This window comes from Homo sapiens, chromosome 18 (assembly GCF_000001405.40).
Source record: "Homo sapiens chromosome 18, GRCh38.p14 Primary Assembly".
NCBI lineage: Eukaryota > Metazoa > Chordata > Mammalia > Primates > Hominidae > Homo > Homo sapiens.
Window position 1 is genome coordinate 42,217,786 of NC_000018.10, and position 19,639 is coordinate 42,237,424.

At 35.6% G+C, this 19,639-nt stretch overlaps 1 long non-coding RNA gene across 5 annotated transcripts in view; it reads left to right on the forward strand.

Annotated features, from left to right (window-relative positions):
• Window positions 1-19,639, forward strand: part of LINC00907 (long intergenic non-protein coding RNA 907) — a 504,759-nt gene that overhangs the window by 31,118 nt on the left and 454,002 nt on the right. For all 5 annotated transcript variants that reach the window (NR_046174.2, NR_046454.1, NR_046457.1 and 2 more), the window contains exon 3: window positions 8,179-8,322. This is a non-coding gene — a long non-coding RNA (long intergenic non-protein coding RNA 907). The remainder of the gene's footprint in view (window positions 1-8,178; window positions 8,323-19,639) is intronic.

Genomic DNA, 19,639 nt, shown 5'->3' on the forward strand with positions numbered 1-19,639 from the left:
GGTTTTAATGGTTGTCCATCTTGTTCCTAGGCATACTATATTTTCTTATCATTTTCAGTGAATAGCTCTGCCCTAGCTGCTATTCCAACCTTGCTGCCTATTATGGTAATTTTTACCACTTGGCTTATGATTATTAAGTGCTGCCAGCCACCTGGCCTCTACTATTCCCAGCTCTATCATTCCCATGAACATAAGTTCAAGATATTTTCTAATTCTCCTTGTGATTTATTTCTTTGACTCCTGGGATCCCACTTTGGTAAAAACATCTACTAGCTGCTGATTTTTTTTAAGACTGTGTTTTTGGCCAGGCATGGTGGCTCATGCCTGTAATCCCAGCACTTTGATAGGCTGAGATGGGAGATCACTTGAGCCCAGGAGTTGAAGACCAGCCTGGGCAGCAAAGTGAGACCCTGTCTCTACAAAAAATCAAAAAGTTATCTGGGGATGGTGGTGTGCACCTGTAGTCTCAGCTACAGGGGAGGCTGAGGCAGAGGATCACTTGAACCCAGGAGGCTGAGGCCATACTGAGCTGTGTTTGCACTCCAGCACTCCAGCATGGGTGACAGAGAAAGACTCTGTCTCAAAACAAAACAAAGCAAAACAAAAAACAAACAAAACATACAAAGTTTTTGGAGTTCTTTTCTTAGTAGTTACCAGAAATTACAGTATACACCTCAATTTATCTCAATCTATTTCAAGTAAATACTGACCTAATTCCAGAAAAATATAGCAGCTATGTTCTAAAATAGCTCAGTTTCTTCCAATCTCCCTGTAAGCTATAAACCCCTAGTACAGTACTATTCTTATTGCCCTATACAATTTTATTTTTATTATAAAAATTAGAAAGAAAATATATTTATATACTCTTTTACTTACCTATGTTTTTACCATTTTTGTGACTCTTCATTTCTTCCTGTGAATTTAAATTGCCATCTGGTATTTCCCTTCAGCCTGAAGGACTTCCTTTAGTGTTTCTTGTCATACAGATCTGTTAACAATGATTTCTCTCGATCTTTGTATATCTGGGAATGTTTTATTTTTGCCTTCCTTTTTTAAGAAGAGACTTTTTGGTTAGATAATTGTTTGTTGACAGCACTTTGCATATGTCCTTCCGCTGCCTTTTTGCTTCTATTGTTTCTGATCAAAGTCAACTTTAAATAGTACCAGTGATTCCTGTGCACAATGAGTCTTGCTGCTTTCAAGATTTTCTTTTGTCTTTGTTTTACTGCACTTTGCCTATGATGTGTTGAGGTGTTTATCTCTTTGTTTTTAGTCTATTTGGGTTTCATTATCTTGGATCTGTAGATTAATGTTTTTAATCAAATTAGGAAGCTTCAATGATTACTTCTTTAAATGTTCTTGTTCAAATAAACTTTATTTTTAGAACAGTTTTAGATTTACAGAGAATTGTGAAATTAACACAGAGAGTTCCTATATACTTGATACCAAATATTTCCTATTATTAACATCTTACATTATTATTTGTTACAATTAATGATCTTATATGGAGACATTATTGACTGAAGTCCGTACATTTTTCAGATTTTCATAGTTTTTACCTAATGTTCTTTTTCTGTTTCATGATTCTTTCCAGAATATCACATTACATTTAATCACCATGTCTCCTTAGGCTCTTCCTAGCAATTACAGCTTCTTAGACTTTCCTTGTTTTCGATGATCTTGATAGCTTTCAGAGTTAATGCACAGGTATTTTGTAGAATGTTCCTGTATTGGGATTTGTCTGCTGTTTTTCTTATGATTAGACTGAGATTATGTGTTTTTGGAAAAAAGATCATTGAAATAAAGTGCCATTTTATCAAAGTATATCAACCAATATAACTTATCACTGTTGGTGTTGACCTTGATCACATGGCTAACAAGTTTGTCAGACTTCACTGTAAAGTTATTTTTTTCCTCCTTTTCTGTATTATATTATTTAAAAGAAAGTCATTAGGTATATCCTATATTTGAAGAGAGGTAAAGTTATTCTCTACAACCTGAGGGAGGAGTATCAATAGAAATTACTTGGAATTCTGCAGGAAAAATTTGTCTATTTTACCCCAATTATTTAGGTATTCAATATTTTTTTAAATCAATATGGACTTATTTATTTTATACTTTGGGTTATAATTTGATATTATTTTCTTGCTCAAATTTTTCCAGTTGTGGCCATCAGAAGCTTTCAGTTGTTCCTGTGTCCCTTTGATAATATTCCACCATTGTGGTTTTGTTTATATTTATTTTCTTCTTGTTGTTGCTCTTATTTGGTAAGAACATTCTCTTATTTTCTGGCACTGCAATTGCTCCAAGTTCATCTTACATATGTCCTGCCCCAGTCCTAGAATCAGCCATTTCTCTGAGAAGCTCTGGTTCCCCTTTTTTGGAGAATGCTATCCGAAACCAATGTCTGGACATTAAGAGTGCTGGTTGCTATTTTGGTGTCATTGTTTTTAGGCCCTCTCAGCTAACAGAGAAAGGAAATATATATGGGTATACTGTCCCATGAGTATACATATATACCTGGAAATATTTCCATATGTAACCATCTGTATCTATATTAAAATAATCACGGGTCCATGCTGATGTCTCCAATTCTAATTCATTACCACATGGATCATTCTAGCCTCTTCCATGTGCTGATTTGTAAACTCTGATTATAATATTAGGAAACCTAGCTCCCACCATCCACAATTCATTTGCTTAATTGTCCAATTCTAGCATGTATGTATCAGAATCATTAGTTCATACGTCCATTAGGTATGTGTTGTTTTTCAAGTATAGTGCTTATGAACAGCCATATTTTTTAAAATTAATATTGTGTATATTTAAAGGATACACCATGAGGTTATGGGATATACAGAGATAGAAAAAAAGTATCTAACTATAGTATTTAACTATAGTGAAGCAAATTAATAAATTCATCATCTCATATGTTTACTATCTTTTTTTTTCTTGGTAAGGTAACTAAAATCTATTCATTTGTCATGAATCCCAAATACAGTATGATTTTATCACCTATAGTCCTCATGATATATATTAGTTCTCTAGACTTTTTGCCTATTGTTTGACAGACTACTCTAATTTCCAGAGTTGCTCAGGTCAGCCTCCTTTCCCCAGCTTTATTTGAGGTTGTATTAAATAGTATACATTTGTAATATAGTTAGATTGTAATATAGTTAGGAATCCCATTCCATCCTGGGATTCCTCTAACATCTGAATTATTTTTTAAGTTGCATACATTAAGGTTTACTCTTAATGAATAAGGTTACTCCAAAGAGTAAGGTCTACTCCTTTGTGTAAAGTTCAGTGGGTTTTGACAAATGCATAATACCATGTGTTAACAGTTACCTATCATATGGAATAGTTTACCACCCTAGAAATTCCCTATGTTTCACCTATTCAACCCTTCCTCTCATCTGTCTGGACCCCTGACAAATACTGATCTTTTCACTGTTTCTATAGTTTTTCCTTTCCTAGAATGTCATCTAATTGAAATTATAATCTTTTTAGATTCTTTTCAAAATATTTCACTAAGCAATATGCAATTTGTAATTCATCCATGCCTTTTCATAGCTTGGTAGCTCATTTCTTTTTATCACTGAATAATATTTCATTGTGTGAATAAACCACAGTTCTATTATCTACACAACTTTTGGAGGACATCTTGGTTGCTTCTGGTTTTTGTCTATTACAAATAAAGTTGCTATAAACATTCACATGCAGGCTTTTGTGTGGATGTGTTCACCTCAAATTATTCTAGTGCATACGTAGGAGTAAAATTGGTGGATTGTAGGATAAGCCTATTGTTAGCCTCATAAGGACTGCCAAATTGGCTTCCAAAGTACTTGTACCATTTTGCATTCCCACCAGCAAATGGAAGAGTTTCTTTTGTTTTGCATCCTTGCCATCAACTGGTTTTATGAATTTTCAGATTTTAGCCATTTTAATAAGTGTATAGTAACATTTTATTTTGTTTTACTCTTTTATTTTGTTTTATTGTTTTAATTTGTATTTCCCTAGTAACAAATAGTGTTGTGCTTCTTTTTCATGTGCTTATTTGTCATTTATGTATGAGATGTCTATTTGAATCTTTATTTTTTTTAACTGGGTTTTTTGTTTTGTTTTTGCAGAGTTTTAAGAGTTCTTTCTATGTTTTGGATACAAATCATTTATTAGATAAGTGTTTTGTGAATATTTTATCCTAGTTTATAACTTGTCTTTTAATTCTTCTTATTCTCTTAACAGTGTCTTTCATGGAACAGAGGTTCTCAATTTTAATTAAATCCAACTTAACAATTTTTTTTCTTTCATCAATCATATTTTTGATGTTGAATCTGAAAACTCATTGCCAAACCAAGGTCTCCTAGATTTTCTGTCATGTTTTCTTCTGTAAGTTTTATAGTTTCATGTTTTACATTTAGGTCTAAGATTCACTCGTTCTCATTAATTTTTTTGAAAGATGTAAGTTTTTTTTTGAAAGATGTATGATTTTTTTTTTTCATGTGGATGTCTACTTGTTTCAGGACTATTTGTTGAAAGACTGTCTTTTCTTCATTGAATTTCTCTTGTTCCTTTGTCAAAGATTAATCGACAATATGTGTGGGGGTCTATTTCTGAGCTCTCTATTCTATTTCATCCATGTATGTGTCTATTCTTTTTTGAACACCTTGTTATCTTGATTACTGTAGCTTTATAGTAAGCCTTGAAGTTGAGTAGTGTGAGTTCTCTAATTATCTTCTTTTTTAGTACTGTGCTGGTGATTCTAGGTCTTGTGCTTCTCCTTATGTACTTTAGAATCAGTTTGTTGATATCTAGAAAATAACTTACGGAGATTTTCCAGCTTTAGGTGAGTCTCAAGGGCTAGACAGGCCTGTAGTTAGGGAAATAGTTTTCTCCCAGGTAGGGATAAGGCTCTGGTAGCCTTTCTCCCTTGAAAGCATAGATCTGTGTTATGGAGAGCACTTTGGGTGTATTTCACAATAGTTACTTTTACCCTCTTCCTGCCAAAGCTACAAGAGAATTTTTGTTGCTGCTTCACTGTGAAAGTATAATCAGATTCCTAGTGGTTAAAAAAAAAAAAAAAAAAAAGAATGTATGTATCCCTAAGACTGCAACCCTTAGGATATTCTCACTCTCAAGTTAGTTTCCTGGCTCCAGCAATTAATCAAAATTACCATTTAAATATTTCTACCAGTTCATTACTCCAGCAGCTCTTCCTCCAAGGCAGCAGGTATTGGCTGTAACTCTTTGGTTGAAGTTGTCTTGCCAGATTCGGTGTGGCAGTTTGCCTTTAGATTTCAGTTCTCTAACAGGTCTAAGAAAAGTCATCATTTTTCAGTATGTTCAACTTTTTTCTTGTTGAAAGGATGGGAGTAATGACTTCTATTATTTTTTGGTATTAGAGCTGGAAACAGAAGTTCACGTCAAATATATTTGTCTGCCATTTTCTTTCTTTCCTCTTTCTGGGACTCTCATTACATGTATGTTTATATCATGGGAAAGGAAAAAATGCTTTCATCTGCCTTGCTAGGCTCTGCCACCAGGCCTGAGAATTTGGCCTGAAAATGAAACAGACATAAGACAAATTAACAGGAGAAAAGCATATACATTTTATGTAATGTTTTTATATGTATTTGGCAGCCTTCATAGAAAAAATAAAGATGTGAAGAAGCAGTTAGGACTGAGAGCTTATAAATCTATTTACCAAAAAAATAATAATTTTGTGAAGAAGTGATAAGACAAAGGAAAAGGGATTTAAACTTCTGTGGTGGTAAATTGTGGGAAACTGACTATGAAATATATACATGAAAATAATAGAAAATAAGAATTATTTTAGTAGGTTTTATAGATACATTTTCATGTTGACTCCCAGTGTGCAGTGAGTAGAATATTCTTCTCTGTGTTAAAGGGAAAACGACTTTCTAATGGGAAATTTTATGACCTGCTTTTAGATAAGAGGAGGTCAGAAAGCCCCTCCTGCATTTGCTGTTTCTCAAGTGCCTTCAGTTCAAAACAATCAATACACCAAAGCGGAATATTTTGGGGTGGCACATTCTGAATCCCTTCAGTACGTGTATAATTTTCTGACAAGTCTCTGAGTCTCCGCTTATTTTTCTGTAACTATTTTCTTTCTAATCTTAAGGTAAATTAATTTCTATTTTTTTCGTCAAAATCATTGATGATTTTTTCTGCCATCACAAATTTGCTATTAAATCCATCTAGTAAATTTTTCATTTTTGTTATTACATTTTTCAACGTAAAGATTTCCATTTAGATATTTTTAGCTTTCTATTTCTTTACTGAGATCCCCTATTTGTTGAATCATTGTCCTCAAATCTTTTTTAATTCTATGCAATATATTCAGAATAGCTATAATGAAATTTTTGCTGCAAAATCCTACTTCTTAGTCTACTTACAGTTAGTTCTATTCAGTGGTTTTTTTTTTTTTTTTCTAAATCTGGTCTATACTTTCTCTAAATATGGTTTCACACTTAGTATTTTTTGTATACTCTAATCTTTGGCTGTACACTGGACATATGAGGTAATATAGTAATTTTGTGTTCTGATTTTACTTTTTCTTTCTTTTTTCTTTTTTGCAACTCACTTGAACTTTAACTGTGTAATTGATCTCCCCTGTAGCATATGGCCATTTGTATATATGCTAAGATTTTTTATTTTTGTTATTTAGCCTGGCTTCCTAGGGGTCATCCCAGTGTCTACATAGCTTAGTGGTCATCCAGTGATTTGGAATAGGCTATATTCAAATTCCATGCGCCCATAATTCTTCCTCCCTCTGCTGACTGGTCTTTGGGTGTGGGCACAAAGTTGTCAGTTTTCAAGTCTTCTGTGACTTTCACTTTAAACTCAAACTTTCTTGGTCTTGCCCCACACACATGTATAGCTTCCTAGTCAGCCAGGTGTTCATGAAGAGCTTCTCTCATCTCTTCTATGGCCCTCTTATTCCTAAGAGCTCTCCACTAAGTTTATGCCTGGTTTACCATTTGCCCCAACCAGTACCACAAATTTAGGCTAGTAGACTTGTCAGTCACCCATTTATTTTCTACTGACAATGCTGCCTGTTGTAGGTTTTTGTCCTATGCCTGAAATTGAGCCCACCTGGTCTGGCATCAAAGTTATAGGTTTCCTGGCCAGCTGCACAATAGCAATGCTGTCATTATTATTGACCAAGCTGGGATGGGTGGTGAATATTGGCTCCAGACAAGATTACAGACGCTATTGTTTGTAGCTGAAGGACTACCAGTTTTTCATAAATATGTATTTCTCAAATTGTTCTTTGCATTTAGTCAATTTTTAGAGTTCCAAGATGGTTGTTTTTGACAATTGTGTCCAGTTTTATCCTTTTCTTGTGGAGGTAAGAAGATTTGTTGGTCTCTCCACTCCTCTGTAGCTGTAAGGCTTCCTCCCTATTTTTCCCTTTTTTGTTTGTTTTAGTAGAAAATTATGCTTATAGATCATCATCTGGTTGCTAGGGAGAAGTCATTGCTACCAGTTTTGGTGCTTTTTAAATGTATATGATAAAATACATCGCAAATTCACCTGATAAAAAACTTCAGATTTAAATTTAGGATTACAAGGTTTTTTTTAAATGTAATCTCTTTGATCTTACATATGTATCTTTTTTTCTTATATGCCAAAACTCCTGGTTCTTAATAATATCAATGTAATTATTAATTTTGTCTAACAATATACATGCATCAGCCTCAGAATAATAGCGTCAACATTACCACAAATATAGTTACTTAAAATGATTTGATGGTTTTTGTGGGGGTGTGTGTGTGTTTTTACACTGCACTGTATGTTTTATAATATAATGGTGATGATCTCTTCTGCTGTAATATATTTATATATTTTCCACAGGTACGAGAGTATGTCTGCTTGTCCTGGGGAAAAAAAAATCTGTACATTCTCTCTTGCCAAATCCGTAAACATGCTGTGCTTTATATCCATGATCAATGATACAACACATTTCAATGAAATTCAAAGCTATTTCACTGTCCAGTTCTGCTGCATGTTTTTATTACACCATAATTCTGCTCACAACCTGATTCATTTTACATTCCAACTTTATCTCAGATGTACTAACGTGCTTTTAAAATAAGGAATATTAAAGATTTTCAAAAATAGTTGTAAAATTGAGTATTTTCTGCCATTTCACAGCTCCTTCCCATTTATGAGAGAGCCACATGACATCAGCCCATAGACTGTGGAGAGTATTCCAGATCTATCACATTCTGCGATTCTGCGATTCCCAGAAGGCTGGTCATGAAAAAATTCCCTCTTCAGTTTACATATATGGCAGTGGTAAGTGGAGGCACCTAGATAGAAAATTTTACTCTGGTGAATTATATCTTGTATATTCTTCAAATTCAAAAGAATAAAAACAAACTAAATGCTAGAAAACTAATGAACAAACAAAACCTTCCAAATACCCCTTCTCACCATTACATTTATTTGGAAAAATACATTTTTAAAGTATCATGAAATTTTTCAATCATATGCAGATGTAGAAATAATAATAAAGTAAAACTCCATGCACTCACTACCCAGTTTCAGAAATTATACAATCATGACAAATATTGTTTCATCAATACCTCCATTCACTTACACTCATTGAGTATTTTTTGAAGCAAGTCCCAGAAGTCAAATTATTTCCTTTGAAAACAATTTCAGAGTGTATTTCCAAAACATAATACTTTAAAAAAGAACTACAGTTGCAGTCACAAGTAAAAATAATAATTTAATATCATCAAATACCTAGCCATTATTCAAATTTCAAATTTTCTTACAAATACTATATTTTTGTAGCAATTTGTGTGAATCAAGTCCAAAAATTTTTAATTCTTTCCATTGTTGAAGGAACCAGGTTATTTATCCTGTAGAGTTTTCTGCCATCTGGATTTTGATAATTATATTACCATGGTGTTGCTTAACATCTTCCTATAGTCTCTGCTGTTCCTGTAAATTGAGCATTGGTGCTAGTGGTTTAATCAGATACAGGTAGGTTTATTTGTAGCAATTCTACTTGATAAAGGTTGCTGTGCTTTTCCTTATTAAGCATTTACTGTCTGGTTGCCTCTCTTTTAGCAGGTGATGATGATCAATAACTAGATACATCAGTTCATTAAAGGTTGCAAAAGGAGGCTGTTCTAACTCTATTATTCTTACTTTATACATCTATTACATGTATATATAGGTGTATCTATGGGTATATTTCTGAAATATGTTTACCAATAGAAATTTTATAAACCATGTAACACAGTTTGTATAGGAAAGGCAGGATAAATGCAAAATGTTACATCTCACAAATGAGCCATAAGCATAAAAGCATGTGGTTCAATGCCATAGGAGAAGGTAGTATCTCCAAAAGGTTTCTATCTTCCTCAGATTCTAAAAAGCCCTTTGCAGTTTTTCACTCAAAAGTTCTAATTACATATATTCCTAATATTTAAAAAATAATGTTTATAATTGTTTTCTGTCTAAAGAGTTATGCATGCTTATTTTAGAAAATATAGATCGATCTGAAGAAGAAGGGGAAATCTTCCCTAATTTCATTGCCTGGAGAAAACTACTGTCCAAGAGATTTCAAAGATGACTATTCCATAAGGGTCCCAGAACCTATTAAAGAATCAAGTCAGTAAACAGTGATAATACTTGAGCTGCAGAATGAAAACACAAATGATGTTAAAAAGTACTTCAGTGGGATTTTTTTCTGGAATTTTATATTGTGGTAAAATACACACAACATAAAATTTGCTACAGTAACCATTCTAAACAATTCAGTAGCACTAAGTACAGAACCCATGTTGTGAAACCACCACCAGTACTATTTAAACCCAGAACATTCTTATTTTCCCAATTGAAGATCTTGTGATAGGTCTACAATTCTATGAATATACTAAAAATAATTAAATTGTATATTTTAAGTTGTTGAATTTAATAATATAACAATTATATCTCAATAAATCTGCTTTTTTTAAAAAAAAAATAAGGGATAGCGGAGAATAAAATAGAAAAAAGTCCCTTGCCTTCAGGGAATTTGCCTTCTAGTGACAGCCATTACCATTATAATTCTCTAATACATTTAGCAGAAACACAAAGTGATAGCCATTACCATTATAATTGTCTAATACCTTTAACAAAAACACAACAAATGAGACAGATTGCCTGTAGAAGATAAAGACTGGATATGCTATTCTTATAGATACCCTTGGATTTCCTGAATATAACCTCAAGTTTACTGTATCTGACCCTAGTTCCCATGAACAGATGGCCAACCAAGGATGCAATGGGGCAACTAATCCTGTATTTTCCTAAACTCCTAAGTTAAAATTTGCAAGATACCTTATAGAAAGTTTAAAACAGTATCTTACAGAGTGATGCTGAGTGGACTTTTAGATCTGGAAGTAGCCTTAAGAGATGATTAATTTTAGCATAATTATTTTACAAGTAGGCAACTGACACCCATGTAGATGAAGGATTTAGCCACAACCAATCAAGCACGATCTGACTCTACAAAGCAGTTGTATCTGAGGGCAGTGCTGTTCTGTTCTGTTTTGTTTTATTTTCTCTGTGTGTTTTTCAGAAGCGTTATCTGCTTGACAGCTCACTGCTGTATTTGTAAAAATAGACTTTACTTTGCTATCCCAGAAAAGACGGAGGTTGGGTTAATACAGTGTATCAAATAAGCACTTTTAGTTTAGATTTTCTGATGTCAATTAATAATGGTGAACCGCAAAGCTGCAGAAGAATGAGAGGCAGAATTAGGAATAATACTGAATTTTTCCTGTCTCATGCATGACTGTCCTGGGGTATGGTGGGTTCCCACATGAGCCTGAAGAAAAAACTTAGTGTGAAAAGTCTTCATTTTGTCCAGTTGTCTCAGAAAAATGTGTACATACAGAGAAAGTGATGTCCCTGAGAGGTGAACCTCTTCCTTTTGTTCTTAGTTGGTGGCAGAGTCAAAACAGATCTTCAGGCACCCAGTTGTGTAGACTCTTTGGTTTTGATGCTTTGATAATTTCCAAATGACTAACACTCTCTCATGCCTCAATTAATCTAACCTAGTGAACACAAGTGAAGCTTTCCACAGCGCCCTGTTTCTGAGATTTTTGTTTTTGTTTGTTTGTTTGTTTTTGTTTTTTGAGATGGAGTCTCTCCCTGTCACCTAGGCTGGAGTGCAGTGGTGCGATCTTGGCTCCCTGCAACCTCTGCCTCCCAGGTTCCAGCAATTCTCGTGCCTCAGCCTCCTGAGTAGCTGGGATTACAGGCGTGTGCCACCATGCCCAGCTAATTTTTGTATTTTTAGTAGAGATGGGGTTTCACCATGTTGGCCAGGCTGGTCTCAAACTCCTGACTTTAGGTGATCCGCCTGCCTCAGCATCCCAAAGTGTTGGGATTACAGGCATGAGCCACCACACCAGGTCAGGACTCTGTTTCTAAATGTGAGTACTCATTCACCTTGTGAAGTGTGGATTGTGGATGGAGAGAAAAAAGGATAAGGAGATTAGACTGAAGCTATCAATACTTAAAGTGAGACTTTTCAAGCTCCAATGGGACCACTGGCATGACTTTCAATATGGCTTCCATATTGCTTTGGTGACAGGATGAGAAGAAGGCAATACTGAGCTTGGCCTGCTCCTCAGAGGTTGTGGGATCTCTTAATCAATTTTCTGTTGCTTACAACAGAATACCTGAAACTAGGTAATTTATAAAGAAAAGGAATTTCTTTCAGTCCTGGAGGCTGAGAAGTTCCAGGCTGAGGTGATACATCTGGTGAAAACCTTCTTGCTGGTAGGGGCTTTCTGCAGTCCCAGGGTGCTACAGGGCATCACATAGTGGGTGGCTGAGAGCACTGACATGCTAGCTCAGGTTTCTCTTCCTCTTCTTACAAAGCCACTAGTTAACCACATGATAATCATTAATCCATGAATGGATTAATCTATTCAAGAGGGCAGAGTCTTCATGAATGATCCAATCAACTATTAAAGGACCCATTTTTAATGCTGCCACATTGGGGATTGAGTTTTCAACACATGAAATTTGGGAGATACATTCAAACTATAGCATGAGGTAAAGGAAGCATGAGTATTTCCTTGGACTGAATGTGGAGCCCAGGAAAGGGTGGCACTGAGGCCTTTGTTTTTGAGGGGTGAGGAGATCTCAGCAGAAAGAGGCAGATGAACATGGCTAGCAGCCTACAGGCTAAGCACAGATTGGCAGTGCATCAATTAGAACAGAAAGGAACCTGCCAAAACTCATGTAGGATCTCAGATTTTAGTCCTCTAATGGGGTGGTGCGATAAAAATGTAAACTATACGTTGAAAAACAAAATTGCATTTTGTTTCCATTCACTGCAGAGCTTTTCAACATACAGTTTAATGTGAAGTTATGCTGCAAGCTTAGGAATGGGGAGGAAGAGGAAAAGTAGGGGTGGTAGTAAATGAAGGGTCCACAATTGTTGCTGAGAGCAGGCTTGCTCTTTCAATGGGTGCAGGCTGTGTGGTGTCTGAGTGGCTGGCATGATTTAATAGGAACAATTTGGAGTCATACATATATATTTCTATTTAAAAATTAAGCATCATAACAGCTATGATAGATAGATTAGGCACATATTATTACCTTCATTTTAGGTGAGGTGGTCCAAAAACAAGGTGATTAGCTGTCCCAAGATCATAGATTTGTTTATTTAGGGGTGTGAGTTAGTTGAAGTGGAGCAAGCAGTCAGATCTAAGGGTGAGCTAGGTGGCCTTCCTTCTACCATTTCTGTTTATCATTCTTCCTTTATCATGTCCATTACAGAACCATGTTTCTTCTAAGGACCCTCAGATTGCTAGGGCAGATCCTGTAATTCAAATATCTTGTTTTTGCCTGCTGCCTTAGCATCAGTCTGAGAATTTGCTTGAAGGCATCTATCATGCTGATGGTTAGAACATAAACCTGTTTTGGGGGAAAAGATTTGAATTGCCTACAACAATTTGTGGTTAATGAATTGTCCTAAAGGTTTTATGTGTCCCTCTCCCACTGTTTTGCATGGTAGTTGTCTCATCCCCATTAAAAGACTTTTCTCATTTGAACTGTTTTTATGAATAAAGGGCTCTTTCATTTTCCACAGCTGATTTCCTTTTATTGTCTTTATTGCATTTTAACAGGGAGACAAATGACACCACAAACAGACGCAAGGGAGACTGACTCCTCCCGCCTTGCCTTTATGTGTTTTTATTAACCTTTTTTCATCCCTTAGCTCAGGCTGTGGGATGTAGACCTTTAATGCAGGTCATAAATGAACAGCCAGATTTGAAACTTGATGGAAAAGCTCTCTAATGGGACAGAGGATTCACTGAAACAATATTTGTTTTTAAAAATTGTGTTTGAAGTTACAATGACAATGATAGAAATATCAATTATAGTAATAAACATTGTAACACTGAGTATTGAGGTATATAGGCAGAAAGAAATATTTAGTATCCTTTATATGCTAGGCATTCTATATATTTTTCTGCTATATAAATAATATATGAATACATTTATATGACACAAACTTTAAAAGATATGGGAGTATATGTGATAAATGATCAAAATTATCTTTCTTTTTTCCCTCAAATACCACTAGTTTCATCATATGTATCTATTAACAACTTCATCTGCATATACATATACACATTCATATCTTAATGTTTTGTTTTGTCATGCATGAGTTCAAAACCTCTGCATATTATTCAATGACATTCTAATTTGCTTAACAAAATCTACTCTGCATATTTTTCAATGACATTTTAATTTGCTTAATTTTAAAAGGCTTACTATTTGCACTTTATATAAATCTTCCTTACTCTTTGTTTTTTGTTGTTAGCAGCATTTCCCTCTTAGAGATTTAATTTTTTTGGTTGTTGTTAATACAGTGAAAGCTTCAGTAAACATCCTTGAACATACATATCTTCCCATAGGATACATTTCTAGAAATGGAATGCATGTGTGGAAGGATTTGTACATCTCATGGTTTGGTAGATAGTGACCAATTCCCTGTAGTGGCTATGCCACTTCAAGCATCCACCATATTGTATGAGTGTGACTCCCGCCTCTTTGTGTGTTCTTTTATTCCTCAGAATACCCTGACAAAGGAAAACTCTAATCCTTATTTTTATCAATAGAGAATAACAAGCTTCAGAAATGTTAAGTAAAATTGCCTGAGGTTACACAACTATCATGTGGAAGATGAGCTTTATTCCCCACAAAGGCCCATACTCTTTCTGCATTCAGGACATTTTTGGCATGAAGTCCATAATAGCTAGCTTTGCTACTAAGTTGGCTTTATGTGTTTGGGAAGTCACATCACCTCTCTGGTTCGATTTTCCTTTTCTGTAAAATGAAGTAGTTGGACTAGGTGCCTTAGACTCCTTTGACTTTGAATTGTAAACCTGTTTTGGGGAGTATTTTATAAATGCTAGTGCCAGTATAATTTTGGCTGGATTTTGAACATATTTCTTCTACTTGGGATTTCACTTTTCAAAAGGGAAAAGGACTTGAATTGGGATTAACATTAGGAATATTAATAAGGTTAATATTCATCATCATAAGTAAAATTGTTAAGCTTGGCCTGTGTGCTAAATACTGTTCGCTTTTCCAAGTGCTTTACATGCATTATTTTGTACCATCCTCCCTGCATTCTGGTGAGCCAGGTATGGTTATTGTCTTAATTTTACAGATGAGTAAAAGGATGAGGGAGGACAAAACTCTTGTCTAAGATCACACAGCATGTGATGAGCATTTGAACTCAGACTTTCAGAGACTGAGCTGAGAAGCAAATTTTTTTGTGAGTGTGGGAGGGGGAGGCATTTTGTGGAGGAAAAATACAGTAATTCTTCCTTGGACTATGATTAGGAAAGGAAGGGTCAAAAAACAATGAATTTTCTAGATAACTAAAACTTACCCTCTTTAGGTTCAAAAGTTAACTTTTAACAACTTGGGATAAAAATCCTTTTATAATGTGTTACATACTCTTCTGTTTACATTTAATTTGTTTAACCATTTCTTTTGGGGACAGCGTCATTGTATAGGTATTTGTTAGTTCCTTAATAGATTCCTGCTCTTGGGAATAATTAAACTGAATAAACCATTCTCCTTTTCTCTGAATGGTCTCGAATTGGCATGCATTTTGAGTGTTTCAGGTTCTTTTTTACAGTTATGCTTCTCTTGCCTCAGTGTCAAGGTGTCAGCTTTGAAGGCCACTCTTGTGTGGAGACGGTGCTACCAACTGACTGGAGACAGGATGTGCCCTTTGGATAGGGGACCGCATAACTCAACATCCAAACTGGGACACTGTTATTATTTAAGCAGGACAACAGGAATAAGATGAGACTGCTTATTCAAACTGGGATTTACAGTCACTTTACTTAGGGCCAGGTCCACATCCTGCCTTGCTTGCTTGTTAAGGAATCTTGTCACAAATTATTTAGTTTCTCTGAACCACAGTTTCCTCAGTTGTAAATTGGGCACAATAATGCCAACTTGTAAGAATTAGAGAGAATGTACATAGTAGGTGCCTTATGATAGAGCTGCCACATGGGTTGTTGAGAGGAATGAAAGTCAAGGGCATAACACAGTAACTACTTTTTGCCTGTTAACTTTGCTATTGTTTAGGCTATGATTATTTTGCTTTGTGTTGCTGTAATTGTGTCTACATCTGGTTGCTCCCTCCAGCATTCTCTTCTTAGCTACTTCCAATATGATGTGGGCTGGGAAACAAGATAACTGAAGTGTTAGTACTCCAGAAAATAACTCATCTCTGAGTTAGGTGCAAGTTTTTCGGTTTTGTTTGTGTTTTGTACAAGTTTTCACCTTAACTGCTTAAAGTATTAGTCTTTGACCTTGTCATTGGCCTAAACAATAAATGTTGTGTGATAATTCATCACTATATAGGTAATGCTTCTTGGTGATTTTCTGTATTTGAATATTATCGTTTGTCAGCATGGTACTGTTATAAAAATAGGCAGGTATAAAAATACAAATATGTTTTATTATGTAAAAATATAAATCAATAGAACAGAATAGAGAACCTAAAAATAAAGCCAAATTCTTACAGCCAACTGAACTTCAACAAAGCAAACAAAAACATAAAGTGGGGGAAATAACAGACACACTATTCAACAAATGGTGCTGAGATAACTGGCCAGCCATATGTAGAGGAATGAAACTGTATCCTTATCTCTCACCTTATACAAAAATCAACACAAAATGGATCAAAGACTTAAATCTAAGACCTGAAGCCATAAAAATTCTAGAAGATAACATCAGAAAAGCCCTCAAGACATTGGCTCAGGCAAAGACTTCATGACCAAGAACCCATAAGCAAATACAACAAAAACAAAGATAAATAAATAGGACTTAATAAACCTAAAAAGCTTCTGCATAGCAAAGACACAATCAGCAAAGTAAACAGACAACCCAGAGTGGGAGAAAACCTTTTCAATCTATACATCTGACAAAGGAATCCAGAATCTACAAGGAACTCAAATCAGAAAAAAACAAAACAAAACAAACGACAAACAAAAACACCAAACAGTCCCAACAAAAAGTGGGCTAAGGACATGAACAGACAATTCTTAAAAAAAGATATACAAATGGTAAAGAAACATATGAAAATATGCTCAACTTCACTAATGGTCAGGGAAATACAAATCAAAACCACAATGTGATACCACCTTACTCCTACAAGAATGGCTATAATCAAAAAATCAAAATATAATAGATGTTGGCGTGGATGTGGTGAAAAGAGAATACTTTTAAACTGCTGGTTGGTGGGGCTATAAACTAGTACAACCACTGTGGAAAACTAAAAGTAGAACTACAGTGTGATCCAGCAATCCCATCACTGGGTATCTGCCCAGAGGAAAAGAAGTCATTATACAAAAAAAGATACCTGCACATGCATGTTTATAGCAGCACAATTTGCAATTGGAAAAATATGGAACCAGTCCAAATGCCCATCAATCAACAAGGGATGAAGAAAATATGTTGTATATATACCATGGAATACTATTCAGCTATAAAAAGAAACAAAATAATGGCATTTGGAGCAACCTGGATGGAATTGGAGACCATTATTCTATGTGAAGTAACTCAGGAATGGAAAACCAAGCACTGTATGTTCTCACGCATAAGTGGGAGCTAAGCTATGAGGATGTGAAGCCATAAGAATGATACAATGGACTTTGGAGACTCAAGGGAAAGGTTCAGTGTCGGGTGAGGGATAAAAGACTATACGTTGGGTACAGTGTACACTGCTCGGGTGATGGGTGCACCAAAATCTCAGATTTTTGGGTTTGGCATGTGGTCAGACTGCACAGCCAGCCAGCCTCTCCTCTGCCTTCTCCCTCTCCCCGACCTTCCTTTCTCTCCTCCTGCCCCCACCTTTAATTCCCACTCTTTTAAATTTTTGATGATCCTTTTGTTGGTCATGTATTTAGCCACCATTTGCTGAGCCCCAGCTTGTGGTAACCACTGCGTCAGGGTCTATGGCTCTAAATGTGGTTTCTAAGCTTTAGAAAGCTAACAGTCCAGAGAGGAAGATAGATACAAAAATAAATAGCCATGTGAATATGTTTAATTAAACATTTGTGAGAAGAATTATGAAACCCCTGAGGAGGGGTTGATTGTGCCATCTAGGAAGTAGGAAATGGCTTCATAGAGGCAGTCAAGAGTGGACATCAGGGGCTATGTCATTTCCAGGACCAGTCTCAGGCCATGTGTTAGGATATTTAGGCTCATTTCAAGTATTCTAAAGAGTTGTGTGAGTTAAAGAAAATATGTTAACTTTTTGGTGCTTCAGTTTTCTTATCACTAGCAGTGGATCAGAATCTTCACTGCTGTGAAGACAGAGTAAAACAATGTTTGAGAAAGCTCTATGATAAGTTTTAGGCAATTCCAAATGTTATCTTCATTTTGCTGTTATAAGAAATAGCCTGGGCCATTGAACTGATGGTTCTTCCTAGCCAGTTCCTCTCTCTACATCTTTCTGGAAGAATCTATGCAAGACCAGGCTCCTTTCCTGAAAGATACAACAAAATGAGACATAAGGGCTTGAATTCTAGCCCTTCAAAAAGCTGGAAGTTTTAAAAATGATGGTAGTGATGGCATTGCCTTATTCTCTTGGAACGCTTAGAGCGTATCCCAGCACTTACCCAGCTAGGATCTCATATGTCATTTAGGTTAGAACAGGTGTCACCATCTTTGCTTTATAGACATGTTTACCATGGGACAAAAAACAAGGAGGATTGATTTGTGCTAACACCAGGGTAGAGTAATTGAGTGTCAGGATTCTAAAAGGCAAGAGATCTTGAAAATAGCAGTGTAACCACATATAAAGAAAACAATACAGGCATAGATTTAATAACATTTCCAGGGTCACATAATTAATTAGGGAATAGAAGCAGACCTCTAACCCCAGGCTCTTGTGACTGTTGTTGAAACATACTGGACCACATCTTCATCTTGAATTCATCTTCAGTGGTTGAGCTTTTCGACCTTTGCCTTTAAATTTGATGATGCACACTCTTGCTTCCTACTTCACAGCTTTCCTGTCAATTGACTGATAATCTTAAAAACTAGGACTTAGTTGTATTAAGGACACTTACTAGATGCAGTAATCCAACATTTTGCAGATGAAATAACACAATTATTTTACATTATAGGTCTTCCTCCATTTTACCAATTAGCTTATTTTGTAAAGTTGAATATTCTGCTCTGGAATTTACCTAAAGCACTCTCGGCATGTCAGGACTTGCTGCAGGCTCTGTGGACTTCAGACTGAGCCCTTGACTCCATCTTGTGCTCTGAAGGACATAAGGAGGGCAGTACATCTGCAGAGCTTCAAGTGTTAACTCTACCTGCATCCCTAAACCAATCTTGGCAAAATTGACCCTAGGCTCTATCTACCCTACCAGTAAATATGCCAGACAAAAATAGATTCAATTAATTTCCTCTCATTTAGATCACTGAACTGACACTTAAGAAGATACCAGTGTTGCTTTAGATGGCTTTTAGTCCTGTGTTCATGTTCTGAGATTCTTTGGCATAGATAGTAAATGGCTAGGTCTTGGGTAATCCTCATTTCTGGGGAAACAGATATTTCCCCTTACTTCCGTCTTTCTGCAACAACCGATCACAGAAAAGAGGGGACTAAAAACTATTTGTTAGATATTGATAAAGGATGTAATATCAATAAAATAGAGTGAAGACCATTAACATATTAGATAGAATGGCCCTGCAAGAGGGATGAAGTTTATCGTATAAGTTTACTGCAAAGGAAGAGCTCGTATTCCTCTTCCTCAAGTGCAAGCCCCTCTTAATGAAACTGACGGTATGGAATCTTCCAGTCATTGAGGACCTGCTGCAAGCCTGGCCCTGAATACAATATTAGAGGCTGAAGATTTTAAAGAAAAATAACATCCAAGTCCCAGCAACCAAGATGCCTATAGTGTAATTGGAAGAAAAAAGCAAAAGACAAAAAAGAGTTGAGGAAGTTTCTTGGAGGAGGTGACACTGGAATATAGCCCTGGAAAAGGCAGAAAGAAAGAGACATGAGGTGGAGGGGAAGAACTAATTGTGTTTGAGAAAACATTGA